Source organism: Homo sapiens, chromosome 2 (genome assembly GCF_000001405.40).
Source record: "Homo sapiens chromosome 2, GRCh38.p14 Primary Assembly".
Lineage (NCBI taxonomy): Eukaryota > Metazoa > Chordata > Mammalia > Primates > Hominidae > Homo > Homo sapiens.
Genome location: NC_000002.12, coordinates 128,096,298 through 128,116,561, shown reverse-complemented (window position 1 = coordinate 128,116,561; position 20,264 = coordinate 128,096,298). Strand labels below are relative to the sequence as shown.

The 20,264-nt window shown below is 39.5% G+C and overlaps 1 protein-coding gene across 10 annotated transcripts in view; it reads right to left on the bottom strand.

Annotated features, from left to right (window-relative positions):
• UGGT1 (UDP-glucose glycoprotein glucosyltransferase 1) overlaps window positions 1-20,264 on the bottom strand; it is a 104,478-nt gene that overhangs the window by 79,116 nt on the left and 5,098 nt on the right. For 9 of the 10 annotated variants that reach the window (NR_027671.3, NM_020120.4, XM_006712635.5 and 6 more), the window contains exons 2-8: window positions 18,998-19,133; window positions 12,548-12,630; window positions 8,494-8,624; window positions 6,816-6,928; window positions 3,304-3,478; window positions 1,342-1,438; window positions 219-297 (exon numbers count right to left, since the gene is read on the bottom strand). Coding sequence is in view for 8 of the 10 variants with exons in the window: in NM_020120.4 (NP_064505.1) it covers window positions 219-297; window positions 1,342-1,438; window positions 3,304-3,478; window positions 6,816-6,928; window positions 8,494-8,624; window positions 12,548-12,630; window positions 18,998-19,133 (814 nt within the window). In the remaining 2 variants the exon portion in view is untranslated. Of the gene's footprint in view, window positions 1-218; window positions 298-1,341; window positions 1,439-3,303; window positions 3,479-6,815; window positions 6,929-8,493; window positions 8,625-12,547; window positions 12,631-13,416; window positions 13,484-18,997; window positions 19,134-20,264 lie in introns of those variants that run through there. The other variant, XM_047445125.1, reaches the window with a different exon arrangement.

Genomic DNA, 20,264 nt, shown 5'->3' with positions numbered 1-20,264 from the left:
CAGCGAGACCCTGTCTCCAAAAAAAAAAGAATAATGTGAAATCATAAACTGTACTATAAACTAAGTGGTTGACTCTCCACGTAGGATTGCATACATAAAGTACTGTTAGGAGATGAGAAACTCAGACAGTAATGAGTAAGATGATGCTTAAAATGCAAGAAAGCCTGGAGGCTTAAAGAAAATGAGGGCGTTTCCCAAAATACACAGAACATACATACCTTAATTTTCCAAAGAGGAACCCCTGAACCTCATCAATAGGATCATTTTCACCAATCACTGTGGTGTTTACCTCAGTTCCTATGAAAGAATAGAAAATACATATTATTAATAATTGCTCAGATTTGAAACAAAAACGTTACTAGTCTCATAAACTTCATAAAATTGAATAATGTGAAAAAAATCAGAAACCCCTGAAATTATACCATTTAAAATGCTGACTATCACAATTACCCTTTGGCAATGGTTCTTTAAACAAACAGGATAAATGCATTTTAATATCTCCTGTGTTCCTGGATAAAGAATGCATTTTTCCTTAAACTTTGGAAAATTTTACATGCTAAAAACTTCAAAATTAATACATTTAAACATTATGGACAATTATGAAATTAATAGTCAAACACTATGAACAAAGAATTTTTCAATATTAAAATTCTGAAGAATTTATAATTAGTCAACTTAATCCTAATACAATTATTGAAGAAAATAGAATGAGGTAGTAGTTTATTTTCCATCTGCTTTACTACTCAAATTGATTTTTTATCTTTAAAATAAGCATAAAAGAAATGAAAAAATAGCATTTAAAACTTGTAGATAAAATAATAAATTCAAAACCCTAGAGTATTACAACAGAAAGTATCCACAGTAAACTGTTCCATGTACAGAAATAATAAACAACATAAAATTGTTTGTTAAATATAGGATACTTTAAGATTTCACGTTGGAGTCACAAATAAATGGCTATTTGTAAATCCCCTATAACATCAACAACAATAGCTACTACTTGCTGAACGTTTTTGGGCAAACCACTGTGCCAGGTTCTTTTTTTGAGGGTTTTTGTTTTTTTTTTTTTTTTTTTTTTAGTACATGAAAAAATTCTTTCCTTACACACCTTATTTATTCCTCCCCAATACTGGAAGAGACATGTATCATTACCTGTACTTTACACAAGAGAAAACTGGGATCTAGAGAATCTGCTTAAGGGTCACCCACTCAGGTGTAACAGAACCAGGATGCAAACACAGGTTCAGCATACACCTAAATCTATTATTTTTCATATGGAAACAAACTCCCCTTTAACTCATATTTGAAGAAAGCACACTGGTCCCATTTTTACAAATTCACCTTTCACCTGAGTATCATCCTTGGCCTTGTACTCAGTGCTCTTAATGGCCAATTCCACGCCATAGCCAGAGAGGTAAACAGGCTCCTTCCTGGGATTCTGCAAGTAAAGCAAGAATTCCATCATTACCACCTAGCTCTTTCTATGTCACAGTGTACATGGCATGACCATGTTAATGTTGCATCTACTAGCCATTACCTCGGATTATGCCCTCAAAATATCTTTAAATTGTTTTTTAACGATATTAACTATATGGCTAAGAAAGTTCACTAAACAAATTTTTTTAGTCCAAAACCTACCAAAAACTCAAGAGTAATAAAAGCACGTATCTACCATTAAAATATTGATTATATGTTTTAAAAATCAATCCAGAGTCTATATTCTCTCCTTATAAAATCCTAGGCTCCTTTACATGTTGTAGGCTGCCACAACTGTGGGAATGGAATTCCAAGGTAGAAGCAAAACCAGATGAATGGACAGCTGAAAGTGCTATGGTCCCAACCATAAGAAATGGAGAAAGAGAAAAAGAAGTTCCAGAACCTACAGAGCAGGGTTGAAAGCTGGTGAGGTCTCAGTCCCAGAGGTGTTTTTTGAGGCCCATGGGAGTATGCTTTTTATTAAATTTAAATGCCTTCGAGCGGAGCTTGGAGTGACCAGATGTCACAGGCTCACCAGCATCCTGACTGAAGATGGCCCTTCAGACATTAACATCCATCCTAACAGCAATGAAGGGGGCAGAGGGAGAATCAAAAACTGGACTTCAATAAAACTTTCTGCTTGTACAAATTTTCATTTAAAATTTTATGGCCAAGCACAGTGACTCACGCCTGTAATCCCAGCACTTTGGGAGGCTGAGGCGGTCAGATCACCTGAGGTCAGGAATTTGAGACCAGCCTGGCCAACATGGTGAAACCCCCTCTCTACTAAAAATACAAAAAATTAGCCGGCATGATGGTGAGTGCCTGTAATCCCAGCTACTCGGGAGGCTGAGGCAGGAGAGTCACTTGAACTCAGGAGGCGGAGGTTGCAGTGAGCTGAAATCGCGCCACTGTGCTCCAGCCTGGGCGACAGAGCGAGACTCTGTCTCAAAAATAAATAAATCAATAAATAAAATTTTATTTTTTTTGCATGAACTTAGTACTGAGCTTATTATGACATAGAAACTTTAAAGGGCTAACAACCTTTACATATAAATATTTTAAATGACTAAATATTACACAGAGTCTTTTTTTTTTTTTTTTTGAGACGGAGTCTCGCTCTGTCGCCCAGGCTGGAGTGCAGTGGCGCGATCTCGGCTCACTGCAAGCTCCGCCTCCCGGGTTCACGCCATTCTCCTGCCTCAGCCTCCCGCGTAGCTGGGACTACAGGCGCCCGCCACCACGCCCGGCTAATTTTTTGTATTTTTTAGTAGAGACGGGGTTTCACTGTGTTAGCCAGGATGGTCTCGATCTCCTGACCTCGTGATCCGCCCGCCTCGGCCTCCCAAAGTGCTGGGATTACAGGCGTGAGCCACCGCGCCCGGCCTACACAGAGTCTTAAAAGCTTAATATTACATCAAGTCTACCTATGAATCGCCTGTTTAGAAAATCCTCCCCCTTCCACCAAATAAAAAGGTGGCAAAGAGAAAACAGAAGAAAAAAGGTTGGAAAGGAAACTGAATTCAACAATCAGTTCCATAGTATGATGACCATATTAAAATCAGAAAAGATTATTTACATGGTTCATTTTGAAATAAAATGTAAACTTTATCGAGCTACTTTTTTAGCATGTTTTATATTTCTTCAGAAAGCCAAGCAAAGCACATCATATGTGCAAATAATAGACTCAATGAAACTACTGGATTTGTCAAAAAAGGGATTCAAATAACTAGATTTTTTTATAAAGAGGGAGATTATTAGCTTATGTTCTAAAGTCATGCTAGGCAAATTACATTCAAAACAGGTGTAAAATAAGTCAATACTTACAAATATATAATGTCTGAATACATAATTGATTTTGCCTGCATTGCTTTTTGATATAAGCTGGCGGTGAAAATTGGAAAATTCCTCAGAGCCAATCTCAGAGTAGAAAATCACCACAGGGCTTTCAGGATTAGACGAGGGATATCTGTGATCTCCTTTGAACAATAAAGGTTTGGGTCTGAAAATAAATAATAAAAGCTCAAAACTTTAAAAATAATTGTGAAACACTAAAAATGTCACAAAATATAAAGTACAGTTATGAAAATTCAAATAAAGATTATAAGCATCTTAATATGAAGGGTAGCATGATCTTAAATATTTTTCACTTACTAAGATTACTATCAGGTATGAGTCTTATTTATTCATGATTAAAAATAACAAAAGTACATTATAAAAAATACTAACTATAAAATGTAAACACTGGCAGGTCCAGTGCATGATGCCTGTAATCATAACTAAGACAAAGCCTGGGCAACATAGCAAAACCTCGACTCTACAATAAATAACGAAAATTAGCTGGGTATGGTGGCATGCACCTGTAGTCCTAGCTACTTGGGAGGCTAAGGTGAGAGGATCACCTGAGCCCCAGAGGTCGAGGGTGCAGTGATCCATGATCATTCCACTGGACTCCACCCTGGGTGACAGAACGGGACCCTGTCTCAAAAAAAAAAAAACGAATAAAATAAATCTCAATTAATAACAGCTACCAATTCCTAAAAGGGGAGGAAAAGGGCCAAAACAGGATACATATTCAAATGACTACTAAAACTTGAGTATGTATGTATGTAATATATATATATATATATAACATAGTATTTTTTGGGGGGTTTTTTTTTTTTTGGAGATGGAGTTTCATTCCTGTTGCTCAGGCTGGAGTGCAATGACATGGTCTCAGCTCACTGCAACTCTCCCTCCTGGGTTCAAGTGATTCTCCTGCCTCAGCCTCCTCAGTAGCTGGGATTACAGGCATCCACCACCACACCCGGCTAATTTTTGTATTTTTAGTAGAGACAGTGTTTCATCATGTTGGCCAGGCTGGTCTCAAACTCCTGACCTCAGGTGATCCACCCACCTCAGCTTCCCAAAGTGCTGGCATTACAGGCAAAAGCCACCAGGCCTGGCCAATATAATATGTTATATTATGTTATATTTTGAGAAGTCCTCAGTCTGTCACTTAGGCTAGAGCACAGTCGCGTGATCGCTCAGCTCACTGCAGCCTCGACCTCCAGAGCTCAAGGAGGGACTACAGGTGCACGACATCATGCCCAACTAAATTTTGTATATTTTGTAGACATGGGTTTTGTCATGTTGCCCAGGCTGGTCTCAAACTCCTGACTCAAGCGATCCACCCACCTCAGCCTCCCAAAGTTCTGGGATTACAGGCGTAAGCCACCACGGCTGGCCAAGTATATTTTTCTACCATATAAATAGAATATGATTAGCTTTTTATTTAAAAATATAAGTATAGGCCGGTCGTGGTGGCTCACGCCTGTAATCCCAGCACTTTGGGAGGCCGAGGCGGGCGGATCACGAGGTCAGGAGATCAAGACTATCCTGGCTAACACAGTGAAACCCCGTCTCTACTAAAAATACAAAAAACTAGCCGGGCATGGTGGTGGGTGCCTGTACTTGGGAGGCTGAGGCAGGAGAATGGCATGAACCTGGGAGGCGGAGCTTGCAGTGAGCCAAGATGGCACCACTGCACTCCAGCCTGGGCGACAGAGCGAGACTCCGTCTCAAAAATAAATAAATAATAAATAAATAAATAAAAATATAAGTATAAATAATGCAAAAAGCACAGGATGACATTCAGCATATTACTTGCCAATTCTACTAAGTCTATCTCCTCTACTATTTTTACTACTATGATCTTCCTAATGGACGTTTTTGTTTCTGTTTTTGTTTTGGAGTCAGGGTCTCACTCTGTTGCCCAAGGTAGAGTGCAGTGGCATGAACAGGGCTCACTGCAGTCTCTACCTCCTGGGCTAAAGTGATCCTCCCACCACAGCCTCCCGAGTAGCTGGGACCAAAGGCGTGTGCGTGGTTACTGCCACCACACCCAGCTACTTTTTGGAGAAACTGGGTCTCACTTTGTTGCACCGGTTGGTCTGGAATTCCTGGGATCAAGTGATCCTCCTGCCTCAGCCTGCCAAAGTGCTGGGACTACAGGCTTGTGCCCCCAATGGACTTAACATTTCAGTTTTCCTCATAAACTTTAAAACTTCTCCCAAAAAAACTTATCTAAGGATGGCATCAAGATATTAACAGATCTTAATGCACAGACTTTATGACCTACCAGTCTCTATTATAATAAACTATACAACTCAGCAGAAAGTAAAGACATGAATACAGATGCTCCATATAGCCTTATTGTAACAGGAGGAAATGACTTAAAAATCCATCGGTAAGAGGTAAATTACCAATTACGGGACAGTCTTACCTAGGTTATGCATGTGTTAAAAATAACGAGGTATACCCACTTGTACTAAATTGAAAGATACCTTTTATAAAAATAAAACTACCTACATGTATAAATTTAAAACCATAGAAAAAAGTCTGAAGGTATATATGCCAAACCATTAAAAGCAGTTACCGCCTCTCAGAGAGAGGAGACACCGTTGTTCTTTTCTTCATAAAGGTGTGCATTATTGTTGTAGCAAATTAAAGTTTTTTAAAAGAATTACAAAGCCATCAATTTTGTTTCCCCCAAGAGACAGCACTACTGTATCACCATGCAGCCATTTCTGAATGTCCATGCCTTGACCCGGAGATGGCTGGAACGCACGCTGTTTTTTGGTCGGCACTCTGAGTAAGAAGCACTAATGCCATTTGGTGGGCAGAGGATGGGTGCTGGGGAGCCAATCTCACTAAAGAAGACCTACACCACCTAACTGCCATTAGCAGTACTGAGAGGGCCGGCCAACCCCACGGAGAGATCACGGTTCTGTTTATGAACAGCATTAGAGGAGGTACAGAGGGCTTGCTGCCCTAGCCAGTCAGCAAAATGATACATAGCAGAGTTGTCTACCACAGGAAACCCACCTTTGGGCAAAAAGCTGGTACATTAGTTACCAAATTAATATTCAAATCAAGCCTGCAATTATCTTTCAAATATCCTCCTTTGTCTGAAACTAATAATATCCTGAGAGATATTATCATTAATATCATTATTTCAGGCATTGGCTTTAATACACACAGTATTCCTTACTAAGCCAATGACAAAATCTATGTCATTGCTCAGATGCAGTCATTACTAAACAGTAACAGTTAATACTAAATACTTGTATCATCTCCATTTTGAAATGAGATTAGGAAAGAAAGTAATTTGCCACATTTCACAAAACTATTTTAAGTGACGGAGCTGAGATTCAAATATAGTCAGTCTGGTTCCAGAAGCCATACTCTAAACCATTACACCTAATGATACAAAACAGATGAGAAAATCAGAAGGTAGACCAAATGCAGAAGCAGCACTGGAAATGCATGACATGAAAATAAAGAAACACATAATCTACCTTTCAGAGGCTGTCAGTAGAAGAGCCTCAAGGGTATCAGATTCACAAGTCTTCTTTCCATGCACTGAAAAAAACGAATTACATCCTTCTGGTGGAGGTTCATCAGCTGCTATCTGTCACATAAGACACAACACATACTTTTTAAATTTCTAACCAAAGACGAGATAAAGACATGTATAATCAAAATAGGTGATTAAATTATGACAAAACAACATTGTTGAAACTGGCTGAGTGTGGTAGCTCGTGCCTGTAATCCCAGCACTTTGGGAGACCAGAGTGGGAGCATCACTTAAGCCCAAGCCTGGGCAGTTAAGCCTGCCACTTAAGCCTGGGCAGCATAGTGAGACCCCATCTCTACAAAAAATAAAAAAAATAAAAAATTAGGCACAGTGGCATACGCCTGTAGTCCCAGCTACTAAGGAGGCTGAGGTAGGAGGATTGCTTGAGCCTGAAAAGTTGAGGCTGCAGTGATCCGTAATCACAGAACTACACTCCAGCCTGGGCAACAGAACAAGACCCTGTCTCAAAAAAACAAAATCAATAAATGCAAAAACAGGCCAGCCACAGTGGCTCATGCCTGTAATCCCAGCAATTTGCGGGGCAGAGGCAGGCAGATCTCCTGTGGTCAGGAGATCGAGACCAGCCTAGCCAACACGGCGAAATCCTGTCTCTACTAAAAATACAAAAATTAGCTGGGTGTGGTAGCAGGCTACCCCAGCTCAGGTAGGAGAATCACTTAAACCCAGGAGGTGGAGGTTGCAGTGAGCTGTGATTGCGCCACTGCACTCCAGCCTGGGTGACAGGGCGAGACTGTGTCACAAAATAAAGAAAAATGAAAAAAAAAATCACTTTATTGTGTGAAGATGTACCTTTGGGCAATACAATACAGTAACAAGCAAGTGATTCCAACAGAAATTAACAGGGTGGTTGGTTTCAGGGGTGAAAGGTGGCCACAATCAGGACAAAGTACACGGAGGGCTTTCCATGGTGCCAGACTAAGTCCTGCTTCTTGACTTGGGTGAAAATTACAAGGATGTTCACATTATAATAGTCCATTACTATATATTTTTTGTGAGGAGTTTTTCCATGTTTTATTTTATAATAAAAAATAATTTTAAAATTAGCATTGCTTTTATATCAAATATCAAGTTGGTGAAGACATCTTTGACTGTCTCTTCTTAAGTCTCTCTTAACTTGAGGTTCCTCTGTCCCTCTTTTTCTTTTCAATTACAATAGAAATTTCCATAATTTATGTACTGAAGAAACTAGATTACTTTACTACAACGATTCCTGAATTCTAGATTTTCCTGACTGCATCCCTGTGGTGATGCTAAACATTTCTTGCCTCCTGTATTTCCTGTGAACTGCTTTTAGAACTACAGGCTGTAATTAGATGCTGGCTCATTGGTTTAACAAGATTACATCTCCCAGGCTGCAATGCATAAATAAAATATTGCTGTCTTTTTTCTATATAGATATTCTTTTATTTTTTTAAATCTGTGGGTTGAAGACTTAACATCAATTTTGCTTATTATTTTTTTTAAAAATCATAAATCCTAGAAAATTTCAGGCAAAAAAGTGATAATAGCTCTGTAATTCAATTCCAGGACAACTGGGGTCCATCCATTCATCATGATATACACTCTAAAATGCTGTTCTTTAAGAGCACTGGACCCACCTGCTGGAAGGCTTGGATTGTAGCTGAGTAAGAACGAAGGGACAGACAAAATTTAAACAAATTCTGCTGGAGGGGTGACAGAAACTGAAATGCAGCCTCCAATATTGCATGATAGTAGGAATAATCGGTACCTGTCAAGGAAGAACATTAACCAAAGTAATTGCGTATGACTAGAGATATCTAAAGAAGATAGTTCATGAAGCACAAAGCTGTGTTTACAAAGGTATGTGAAGGCAAGTTTTACCAGTATATTGTCTTGAACTCTCAACAAATGCTTAAAACTCCCTGGAGTACAAAATGCAGTTGGGCTCTTCCTCTCTTCTCACCTTTCGAACTATTCCCTCCCCTGGACCGCTATTTTCCCACTTACCTGGATGACTTACAGCTACATACTTCCTCAGAAATAATTCAGCTGTGAAATTACCTACTCCAGAAAGTCTCCACAATCCCTACCCCATGCTTCAATGGACCAGTTAAACCTCTTCCTCAATCCCAGAACACGTCTTTGTTTACCTCTTTCACTTATCATATCATTTACTAAATTATTTATTCACTGTCTATCTATACCCCACTTAGACTTCTGGTCCCCAGAGGAAGAGGCTATGACCTATTTATCCTTATATCCATGATGCCTAGCATATGGTAACTACTCCAAAAACTAAACAAAACTGAGCAGTGTCATGAGGAAGTTACACAGTATTAAAGAATACTAATGAAATTGTAAAGTTTGAAAAGAAGCATTTAAACAAAAAGTTGGACCAAATTATTTTAAAGAAAAAAAAATCCAAATACGAATGTGAAAAAATCCCCAGGATAAATGAAAAGCAAAGGCACAAAACAATGTACATAGTAACTTTTTTTTTAAACCAGTAGAAAGAATGAGAAATAAGAATACATATGTATATATTTGCTGTAAAAAACACTTAAGGCTAAACAAATTAATTTAAAATGTTATAAAAAGCAGGAAAGAAACAGAAGGAACAGGGTCAAGGAAGAAACAAGATTTCTCTGTGTATAACCTTTTATACAGCTTTGACTTCGGAATCACATATATCCATGCAAAAAACTTAAATTTTCCATTTTAAAGGACAAGCACAGTGGCTCTTGCTTGTAATCCCAAAACTTTAGGAGGCCGAGGCAGGAGGATTGCTTGAGCCCAGGAGCTCAAGAGATCAGCCTTGGTAACATAGTGCGTCTCTTTTTAAAAAAAATAGAAATAGGCAGGGCACGGTGGCTCATGCCTGTAATCCCAGCACTTTGGAAGGGGCAGGTGGGTGGATCACCCGAGGTCAGGAGTTCAAGACCAGCCTGGCCAACATGGTGAAACCCCATCTCTATTAAAAATATAAAAATTAGCCACGGGAGGTGGCATGCACCTGTAATCCCAGCTGAGGCAGGAAAATCACTTGAATCCGGGAGGCAGAGGTTGCAGCGAGATTACGCCACTGCACTCCAGCCTGAGCAAGAGGAGACTGTCTCAAAAAATAAATAAGTAAATAATGAAAATAAAATGTTCCATGTAAAAAACAAAATATAAATATTAACATTTTATGAGCCAGAATATAAAAGGTTTTATACTGCAACAGCATCCTCTACGTAAAACTAGATAAGAAATATCTCAAAATGATGCCAGAATGTTAATGGTGTCAATCTTTGGGTGGCAGGAATATAAATAATATTTCAAACAAATAAAATGTTTAACATGCTTTTATGTTGTTCATAGAATTCATACTCCTATAGCTTTAATTAATATTATCATTTTTACTGAAAAAATGTTATTTTAAATGTCAAAGTTCAAATTTGATTATAAACCCACTTTGATAAATTTGTTCTATAAAATCTTAAAAATAAAGTATTTTTTGATAACTTAATTCTAGTTGCCTCTAAATTAGTAAAACCTACAGATGCTTGTTTAAAATATTTACATATCTATATCTCCAAAAAAAAAAAAAAAAAAAGATTCAGGCTGGGCATGGTGGCCCACGCCTGTAATCCCATCACTTTAGGAGGCCAAGGCGAGAGGCAGGGCAGGGATGTCTTGAGGCCAGGAGTTTGAGACCAGCATGTGCAACACAGCTAGACCCATCTTTACAAAATTTAAAAATTAGCCAGGCCTGGTTGTACACACCTATAATACCAGCTACTGAGGAAGATGAAGCAGGAACACTGCTTGAGCAGGAGTTCAAGATTATAGTGAACTACACCACTGCACTCCAGCCTCCAGAGCCAGACTCTGTTTCTAAAATCAAAACTAGGCCGGGCTTGGTGACTCACACCCATAATCCTAGCACTTTGGGAGGCTGAGGTGGGTGGATTGCCTGAGGTCAGGAGTTTGAGACCAGCGTGGCCAGCATGGCGAAACCCCGTCTCTGCTAAAACTACAAAAATTAGCTGGGCGCGATGGTGGGCACCTGTAATCCCAGCTACTCGGGAGGCTGAGGCAGGAGAACAGCTTGAGCTCAAGTGGCAGAGATTGCAGTGAGTCGAGATCGCGCCACTGCACTCCAGCCTGGGCAACAGAGTAAGACTCTGTCTCGAAAAAATAAATAAAATAAAATAAAATAAAATAAAATAAAATAAAGTAAAATCTAGCTGGGTGCAGTCACTCACGCCTGTAATCCCAGCACTTTGGAATGCCAAGGCAGGAGGATCGCTTGAGCCCTAGGAGTCTGAGACCAGCCTGGGCAACACAGCGAGACCCTGTCTCCACAAAAAAAAATTTTTTTAATTAGCCCAAATAAAAAATAATAATAAATAAAATAAATCTTTGGCTAGATCACAGAGTGAAAAAAGTGAAATAAAATAAAAATAAAACAAAAAGATTCAGACAATTTTTAAAATATGAATTATTTTAATAAAAATTAAAAAGTTAAAAAAATCAATACAGGCCAGGTGCAGTGGTTCATGCCTGTAATCCCAGAACTTTAGGAGGCCGAGGTGGGAGGATCACTTGAGCCCAGAAGTTTGAGACCAGCCTGGGCAACACAGTGAGACCTCATCTCCGTTGTATTAAAAAAATAATAATTAAATAATTTTAAAAGAAGAAAAAAAAAACAACCCATTAACATCAGCAGCAGTCACACAATTTTGAAACATTTCCTCTTCTGTAAGAACTTATATCTGGCCAGGCACAGTGGCTCATGCCTGTAATCCCAGCACTTTGGGAGGCTGAGGCGGGTGGATCACTTGAGGTCAAAAGTTCGAGACCAGCCTGGCCAACATGGGGAAACCCCATCTCTACTAAAAATACAAAAATTAGCCAGGCGTAGTGGCGAATGCCTGTAATCCCAGCTACTTGCAAGGCTGAGTCAGGAGAAATGATTGAACCTGGGAGATGGAGGTTGCAGTGAGCCCAGATCGTACCACTGCACTCCAGCCTGGAAACAAAGCAAGACTTCATCTCAAAAAATAAAAATTAAAAAAAAATAATAATAACCTATATCTGTCAATGTAAATTAATATTCAAGGTTTTAACTACTCACATATCAGCATCTCCAACTATTAATGTTTACACCCTATATAGCTTATACGAAGTTTAAAAAATGTGAAAGCACATCATAAAAACTGCAAATGAGGTTTTACAGGATAATCATTCATTTGATACCTTAACACTCAAGTTGTGGGTGGCTGGCAGGCATAATGGAAAACACTCTGGATGATACTAACTTAATGATAATGAACTTAACAGATAATAGCTCAGTTGTGTAGTTCATAACAAAAATAGTGAATCAGATTAGATGGTTATTAATACTGAATGATTTAAAATGAAATGTACTTCCACAAAATATTCACATAGCACTTTAATAAAGGATCACGATAGAACAAAAACAAGAGGGGAAAAAAACAAAGGTACCACTTATAGCCAAAGGTATACATTGCTTCAAAAATAATAATTTGTGTTGTGTTGGCTCTTCCTGACCACCATCATAACTCCAGTCATTAAAGACAACAATGTTTTCCATTAACTGCCATGCCACACATACTATAAAGAGACAATTTTTTCCTAATATTTTCCCAGACACCAAAGTCAAAGAAGCATTTGCTTCAATTTTACCGTCATGATCTGATGATCCAATATTTTGACTGGCTTCTACAAAATTCCAAAATTTCTCTTGACTGTCTTCTGCTAAAAACTCACTGGGAGAAAAGATCAGAAATAAAACAACTTAATAAAATTTTCTAATATAAACTATATTACTAAAGAGAGTAAAAATAAGTTTTGAAGTTTCCAAATGTCCATAGTTTGACTTTTAATCTATAATATATAATACTCTTTTATGTATAATATATATATTTTTAATGATAATCAAGTCCTATCTTATTAGTTATTAATAACTTAGCCTATGAATTTTTTCACTTAATAGCTATTTCTTAAGAAACCTGGAATAATAAAAACATAAAAGGGAAGTCTCAATATAAAGAAAGCTTATGAAACCCCATTGACAAAAATACTATGAGTAGTGGAAGAAGAATTAGGAACTGATGATTCTAGTACTAGTTCTGCTTACTTATTTTCTGAAAGGCCTTACAAAGAACAAAAAATATGTTTTGCCTAAAGTTCTCCCACAGTAAAATATGAACCGTAGAAAAATTTCTGAGAATAAAGGCAGCATGTTGTAATCTTTTAACACTCTTAAATCCAAATTTTCAAGATCACCAAACTTAGTTTAAAATTAGCACTGATCTAACAAAATCAGATCCAAGAACTTAATGCCATCTTAATTTTTTTCGACTTTATCCTACTAAAATAATGGCCAGTCTAAATTTCCCTTCATTCAAGAGTCTAAAACCCCTACGAGGAAATGCACGTAGTAATTGAATGATTCATGTCAATTGCTTATCTTCTCCTCTGAGCCATAATACTAATGCAGTGGTGATCTTTCACTGTCTTAAAGCAAACTACAGATCTGGATCTCAGCTTACCTAGCCAAAGGAAGACTTTCCCATTACTTGTGAACACTGGGGTGTACAATCTCACTCTACTCCACAGCTAGACACAGAAATATGGGAAAAATAAGAAACATTTCCTGGTAATGCACAGCTTCTCTAAAAATAGGTTTCTGAAAATACCCATTATCATAATATATTAAATTTCTCAATGCCTCCTTGAAAGTAGTATTTTTCTAGGCTTTCTAGTAACTGACATAGACACCACACCAAGCTTGGCATAGCTTATAGTCTAAGAAAACAAGTCCTAAGACAGATACATCAGGATGTGCAAATAAACACTAAATTAATTAATTAAAGGCACATTCACAAGATAAGCAGAGAGGGGCAAGGTGACACACTCACCAGTGTGGTGAGAACTAAGATTCAATCAGACTAAGACTCTCCCAGTAAAGGCCACACACGAATAAATACATGCTTTTCATACAATTACAGGGAAACTTCTTGAAACATACATTCTTTTCACCCCACTGCATACATAAGGTCTTACAAGGTCTAAACTTGGAACAGTCCTAATATTACTTACTAGATCCACTGAAACAACCCAGAGGAGAGAATAACAATACAAGATATTATTAAAGAAATGCTGCCTTTTTTTACAGCATATTTTTGTTGCTTTTTGTTTTTTTAGCTTCTTATATAATACTTATTCCACTGAGCATAAATTATGATTTTACAGGCCAGGCGCCGTGGCTCACGCCTGTAATCCCAGCACTTTGGGAGGCTGAGGTGGGTGGACCACCTGAGGTCAGGAGTTCCAGACCAGCCTGGCCAACATGGTGAAACCCCATCTCTACTAAAAATACAAAAAATTAGTCGAGGGTGGTGGCGGGCGCCTGTAGTCTCAGCTACTCAGGAGGCTGAGGCAGGAGAATCGCTTGAACCCAGGAGGTGGAGGTTGCAGTGAGCCAAGATCGTGCCATTGCACTCCAGCCTGGGCAACAAGAGTGAAACTCCATCCCAAAAAAAAAAAAAATTATGATTTTACAAACTATATGATGTCTGGGATTTGCTTTAAAATATTCTAGTGCGGGAGGAGAGAAGGGGGTGGTGATGGTGGTTATTGTACTTAAATTGATAATTGTTAAAACAGGATGATGGGTACAGAGAGAGTACATTATACCATTCTCTCCATATATAAATGTTTTGAAATGCCATAATCCAGGACAAGTTTTTAATCTACAACACAAAAAAAACTACAAACAACCAGAATGAATGCCCACAAGATAGTACAAATCAGGTGACAACTTGTTTTCTTAGATTTCCAAAGCTATTGCGGGAGATCAGCATTGGTCTTCCTTCTATGTGGAACTAGGAGGGAAGAAACTAATATTTAAGGAGGCTCTACGATGTTACAGTCACTAAGCTTGGCATATTTACTCGTGTCCGCAAACCCACACAGCCACCCTCAGATATAACCGTTTTTCAAATAAAGAAGCTGCCATTCAGAGATGCTACTGACTTTCTTAGGGACATAGAGTTAGTCAATGGAAAAGCTGGAATATAAATTCATGTCTATTTAATTTATACCTCTAACATGCTACATTCTTGGGTCATTACAAAATTTAGCACTCAGTAAATGATTATTGGTTTTGATTTTAATAATACCTCCTTATATAATATTTCTGTAGCTACAGCTGCAGAAAACATATTTAGTGTTTTACTTCAATTAAAGATAAATATCACTTCATAGACAATCACAAAGCTACAACTCCTTCACAAACATCAGGTCCAATCTAAAAATACACAACAGGAATATTTTTAGTCCCTAAGGGATAGATGCAAGGAAGGCAAAAGATCTGTGGTGGTGGCATGCCATAAAGTGTAGTAAAATATTTTGACCCTTCATCCTTAACCAGATGGACATAGTACCTTGATCCAACATCAGGGTCTCCCACAGACATAAGAAGGAAGAATGGTGGGCTCTGCTAGCTCTGGAGGTGAATACTAAGTGGATTCTAATAAGCATAGCTCATTTCTATGAGTTGCCTACATGTCGTATTACCTTGGGAAACTGTATACAAATAGCCACAGGAGAAGGGGCCTAAAAATAGTAAACCAAAAGGGCAAATGTAGCTCTTACTTCACATGCCAAGGAAAAAAATTAATAAAAATAAAACAAAATGGCAAATGACCAGGGATATCATGAAAGGGGGAGATGTCTGTGATAAGGAAGTTGGTGAAGAAAACAGTATACCCTGTCCACTTCACAGTGATCAAAGAAACTGAAAATATTGAGCAATTAGGGCTGGCAATTTTAGCATTCTTTCTCAAAAGTCCATAGTTTTATGCTGTAAGAATCTTCTAGGACAATGATCAAGAATGTACAACTATCAAGAAATTAGTGTAAATAAAAGTGAAAGTAACAAAATGTAATTCAGGGTAAGAATGTTAAACAGAGGCCTGGCGCGGTGGCTCACACCTGTAATCCCAGCACTTTGGGAGGCCGAGATGGGTGGATCACCTGAGGTGGGGAGTTCCAGACCAGCCTGACCAACATAGAGAAACTCCATCGCTACTAAAAAAAAAAAAAAAAAAAAATACAAAATTAGCCGGACTTGGTGGTGCATGCCTGTAATCCCAGCTACTCAGGAGGCTGAGGCAAGAGAATCGCTTGAACCTGGGAGGCAGAGGTTGCGGTGAGCCGAGATCACGCCATTGCACTCCAGCCTGGGCAACAAGAGCGAAACTCCATCTCAAAAAAAGAATGTTAAACAGAATATCACAAAAACACCTGTTACAGTTAATTGTACAAAATGATTCAGAAAGTGATAGTAAATCTTGGCCAGGCCCGGTGGCTCACGCCTGTAATCCCAGCACTTTGGGAGGCCAAGGAGGGCAGATCACCTGAGGTCAGGAGTTCAGACCAGCCTGGCGGCCAACATGGTAAAACCCCATCTCTACTGAAAATATAAAAATTAGCCAGGCATGCTGGCACACGCCGGTAATCCCAGCTACTTGGGAGGCTAAGGCAGGAGAATGAGAATGGGCTTGAACCTGGGAGGCAGAGGTTGCAGTGAGCCAAGATGGCGCCACTGAACTCCAGTCTGGGTGACAAAATGAAACTCTGTCTCAAAAAAAATAAGTAGGGTGGGGGGGGGGGTTGTAAATCTCAATGACAGATTTTATACCAAACAAATCATCCAAAATAAGATTAGCAAAAAGGAAAAGAAAAACTTTAGTTTTTAGAGTCCAGCTCAGGCAGTCCAGCTCAGGCAGTCTCAAAATATCTTCAGTCACTGCTTTTTTGTTTGTTATTTGCTTTGTTGGGCTTTTTTCCCCCATAATAAGAACTCTTAAAAAAGAGCCACTTCACTTTTACAACTATGCTGTATCAAATAAAGTTCTGACATTTGACAAGCTTGACCCATTTATCAAGTTAGTTATCACCATGAAATACATACAATGGTTTTGTCTTTGTTTTGCCACTTCTATGCTGAGAAAGAAAGGCAGAGAGAGGCGATGGAAGGAAGTCTATTTAGCAGAAAGTCTGCTAGGCTCCTGAGCTAGCCAAGACCGGCTGCCACATGCCCCCTCCCACTGGTCCTTTTAGCAGTATCAAATGAGGCTTTTTCCTTAAGAGGTGCAACCATTCGTTCACACAATCAACATGGCAAAATTCTTCATCCACATTTTTCTAGGAATTAAGGGGAAAATGTTAGAATACAAAATTCTAGAGGCCAGGCATGGTGGCTCACACCTGTAATTCCACCACTTTGGGAGGCCAAGGCAGGTAGATCACTTGAGCTCAGGAGTTCCAGACCAGCCTGGCCAAGATGGTGAAAGCCCATCTCTATAAAACATACAAAAATAAGCCAGGGGTAGTGGCTCACACCTGTAGTCCCAGCTACTAGGGAGGCCTAGGTGGGAGGATGGCTTGAGTCCAGGAGGCAGAGGTTACAGGGAGCTGAGATCACACCACTACACTCTAGCCTGAACAACAGAGACAGGCCTTGTCTCAAAAACTCTCAAAAAAATATATATATATAAATTGAAGATGAAGAAGACAGACCACAAGGCTGATTGGAGTGATGTGACAGTCCAAATTTCTAGCACGTTCAAACACTAAGACTTACCAAGTGCTTGCTGCTCAATCTACCCACATTTATCCTTTGGAAAGTCTCTGCTAGTTCCACCTCTACATCACTTGAGATACAATCAAATAACCTTCCATCCATAAGCATTTAAGCCCTACCTATACAGACAGGTATCTCATTATATTTATTTACAAACACTAGCTAAAAAGCACACTTGGAATACAAAATTTCTCATGAAATTACTATGTTTCACTAATTTTAAGACAACTATTGTTTTATGAAAAATTCTACCCATTTTAATCGTAAGATAACTTCTTTCCCTTTTTTTTTTTTTTTGAGACGGAGTCTTGCTCTGCTGCCCAGGCTGGACTGCAATGGCGTGATCTGGGCTCACTGCAACCTCCGCCTCCTGGGCTCAAGTGATCCTCCCGGTCAGCCTCCCAAGTAGCTGGGACTATAGGCACGAACCACCACACTCAGCTATTTTTTTCTGGAGAGACGGGGTTTCCCCATGTTGCCCAGGCTGGTCTCAAATTCCTGGACTCAAGCAATCCACCCACCTCAGCCTCCCAAAGAGCTGGGATTTACAGGCATGAGCCACCGTACCTAGCCACCGTTTTATCATTTAAAAAGAAAGATTGAGCTGCATGGGCATAATCTCCTAATCTGATGCTCAGGCACATGCCAGCACGCTCAGCTAATTGTTGCCAGGCTGGTCTCGAACTCCTGACCTCAGGTGATCCACCCACCTTGTCCACCCAAAGTGTTGGGATTATAGGCGTGAGCCACCGTGCCCAGCCTTCTTCCACGTTCTTAAGGGAAAAATGTCCTCTTTCCCCCACGTTGCTAAGCCCTCTTCTCTTCCTTTTATCAATCACCTCTTAAAACTTCCTTCAAATAAGGAGAAAATTTGAATACAACTGGCCAGGCACAGTGGCTCACATCTGTAATCCCAGCACTTTGGGAGGCCAAGGTAGGCAGATCACATGAGGCTAAGGAGTTTGAGACCAGCCTGGCCAACATGGCGAAACCCCTTCTCTACTAAAAATACAAAGATTAGCAGGGTGTGGTGGGGCACTTCCGTGATCCCAGCTACTCAGGAGGCAGAGGCATGAGAATCCCTTGAACCCAGGAGGCGGAGGTCACAGTGAGCCAAGATCTCACCACTGCACTCCAGCCTGGGCAACAGAGCGAGACCCTGTCTCCAAAAATAAATAAATAAATAAACATAACCCTCTCTTTCCTTGTTATGCTTTTTGGAAAGTAACATACTAACTTATCCAACACAGTTATTTGTCCAAAGTTCCTACATAGCTCTATAAACCCACATAGCCCTTGTCCTACTGAATGATGCTATGTCCTAACAGCCTTTGTACAATACATCCTACAGTATACACTGAAAGAGGCTCTTCATAAATGCATTTGATGATAATCTCACTCCTTAAAAAGCTCCTGAATGTTCACTGTCAGAGCCTATATTTATACTCAAATACACGAAGGGAAAAAAAATGTTCTCTTACCTGGCTTCTAACAACAATGGAGTGGAAAACCATTTTGTTGTAAGAGAGGTTGTAATGGCTTTTGAGTCGGCCTTTACTGAGGAGAACAGCCACAGAACAGTGAGTACAACCAGAACTCCCATTTTATAGCAAACTCCTAAAAGGAAAAAAAGAAAAGAAGTTTTGCTACAAGGAAATTTTTTTTTTTTTTGAGACGCAGTCTCGCCCTGTCGCCCAGGCTGGAGTGCAGTGGTGCAATCTCGGCTCATGCAACCTCTGCCTCCCAGGTTCAAGCGATTCTCCTGCCTCAGCCTCCCCAGTAGCTGGGATTACAGGCACGCACCACCACACCCTGCTAATTTTGTGTATCTTTAGTAGAGACAGGGTTTCACAATGTTGGCCAGGCTGGTCTCAAACTCCTGACCTCGTGATCTGCCCGCCTCAGCCTCCCAAAGTGTTGGGATTACAGGCATGAGCCACCATGCCTGGCCTGCTACAAGGTAATTTTAACCTCATACTTGGAGACACAAAATAACAATCCTAATAATACTTGGAGACACAAAATAACATAAGTTAGCGAAACAGAAATGCTTCTGACATATAATAGCACTTAATATCTAGCTAGTCCAACAGATATTTGCTGAGTGACTGATATGTAACTGAAGGCACTTAGGTTATTACATTCTTTCCTACAAAGGCTCTGCTTCATTTCCCAAGCAATCTACACCATACAGGGGTATAAAAATCAGTTGGTGGCACACCAGGTTGCACACAACCATATTTTATAAAGGATGAAAGCAAATAAAGCTGAGATAGATGAAAATATAAATGATAGGTATTAAGGGTTGAACTGTGTCCCCCAAAAAAGATATGGAAATCCTATCCCCCGGTACCTCGTAATGTCAACTTATTTGTAAATACAGTCTTTACAGAGGTCATCAGTTAAAACAAGGTTATTAGGTGGGCACTAACCCAATGACTGATGTTATAAAGAGGAGAAATCTGGACAGAGAAAGACAGCACAGAGGGAAAACTATGTAGAGACACAGGAGACCACCAGGTGAAGACAGAGGCACACACTAAAATTATACTGTAAGCTAAGGAATGCCTGAAACTACCAGAAGCTGAAGAGTCAAAGAAAGATTCTTCCTCCAAAGATTTCAGCGGGAACGTGGTCCTGTGAAACCCTGAGTAAGGATTTCTAGCACTGTGAGACAGTAAATATCTATTGTTCTAAGCCACCCAGTTTGTGATACTTTGTTGTGGTAGCCCTAGGAAACTAACATAA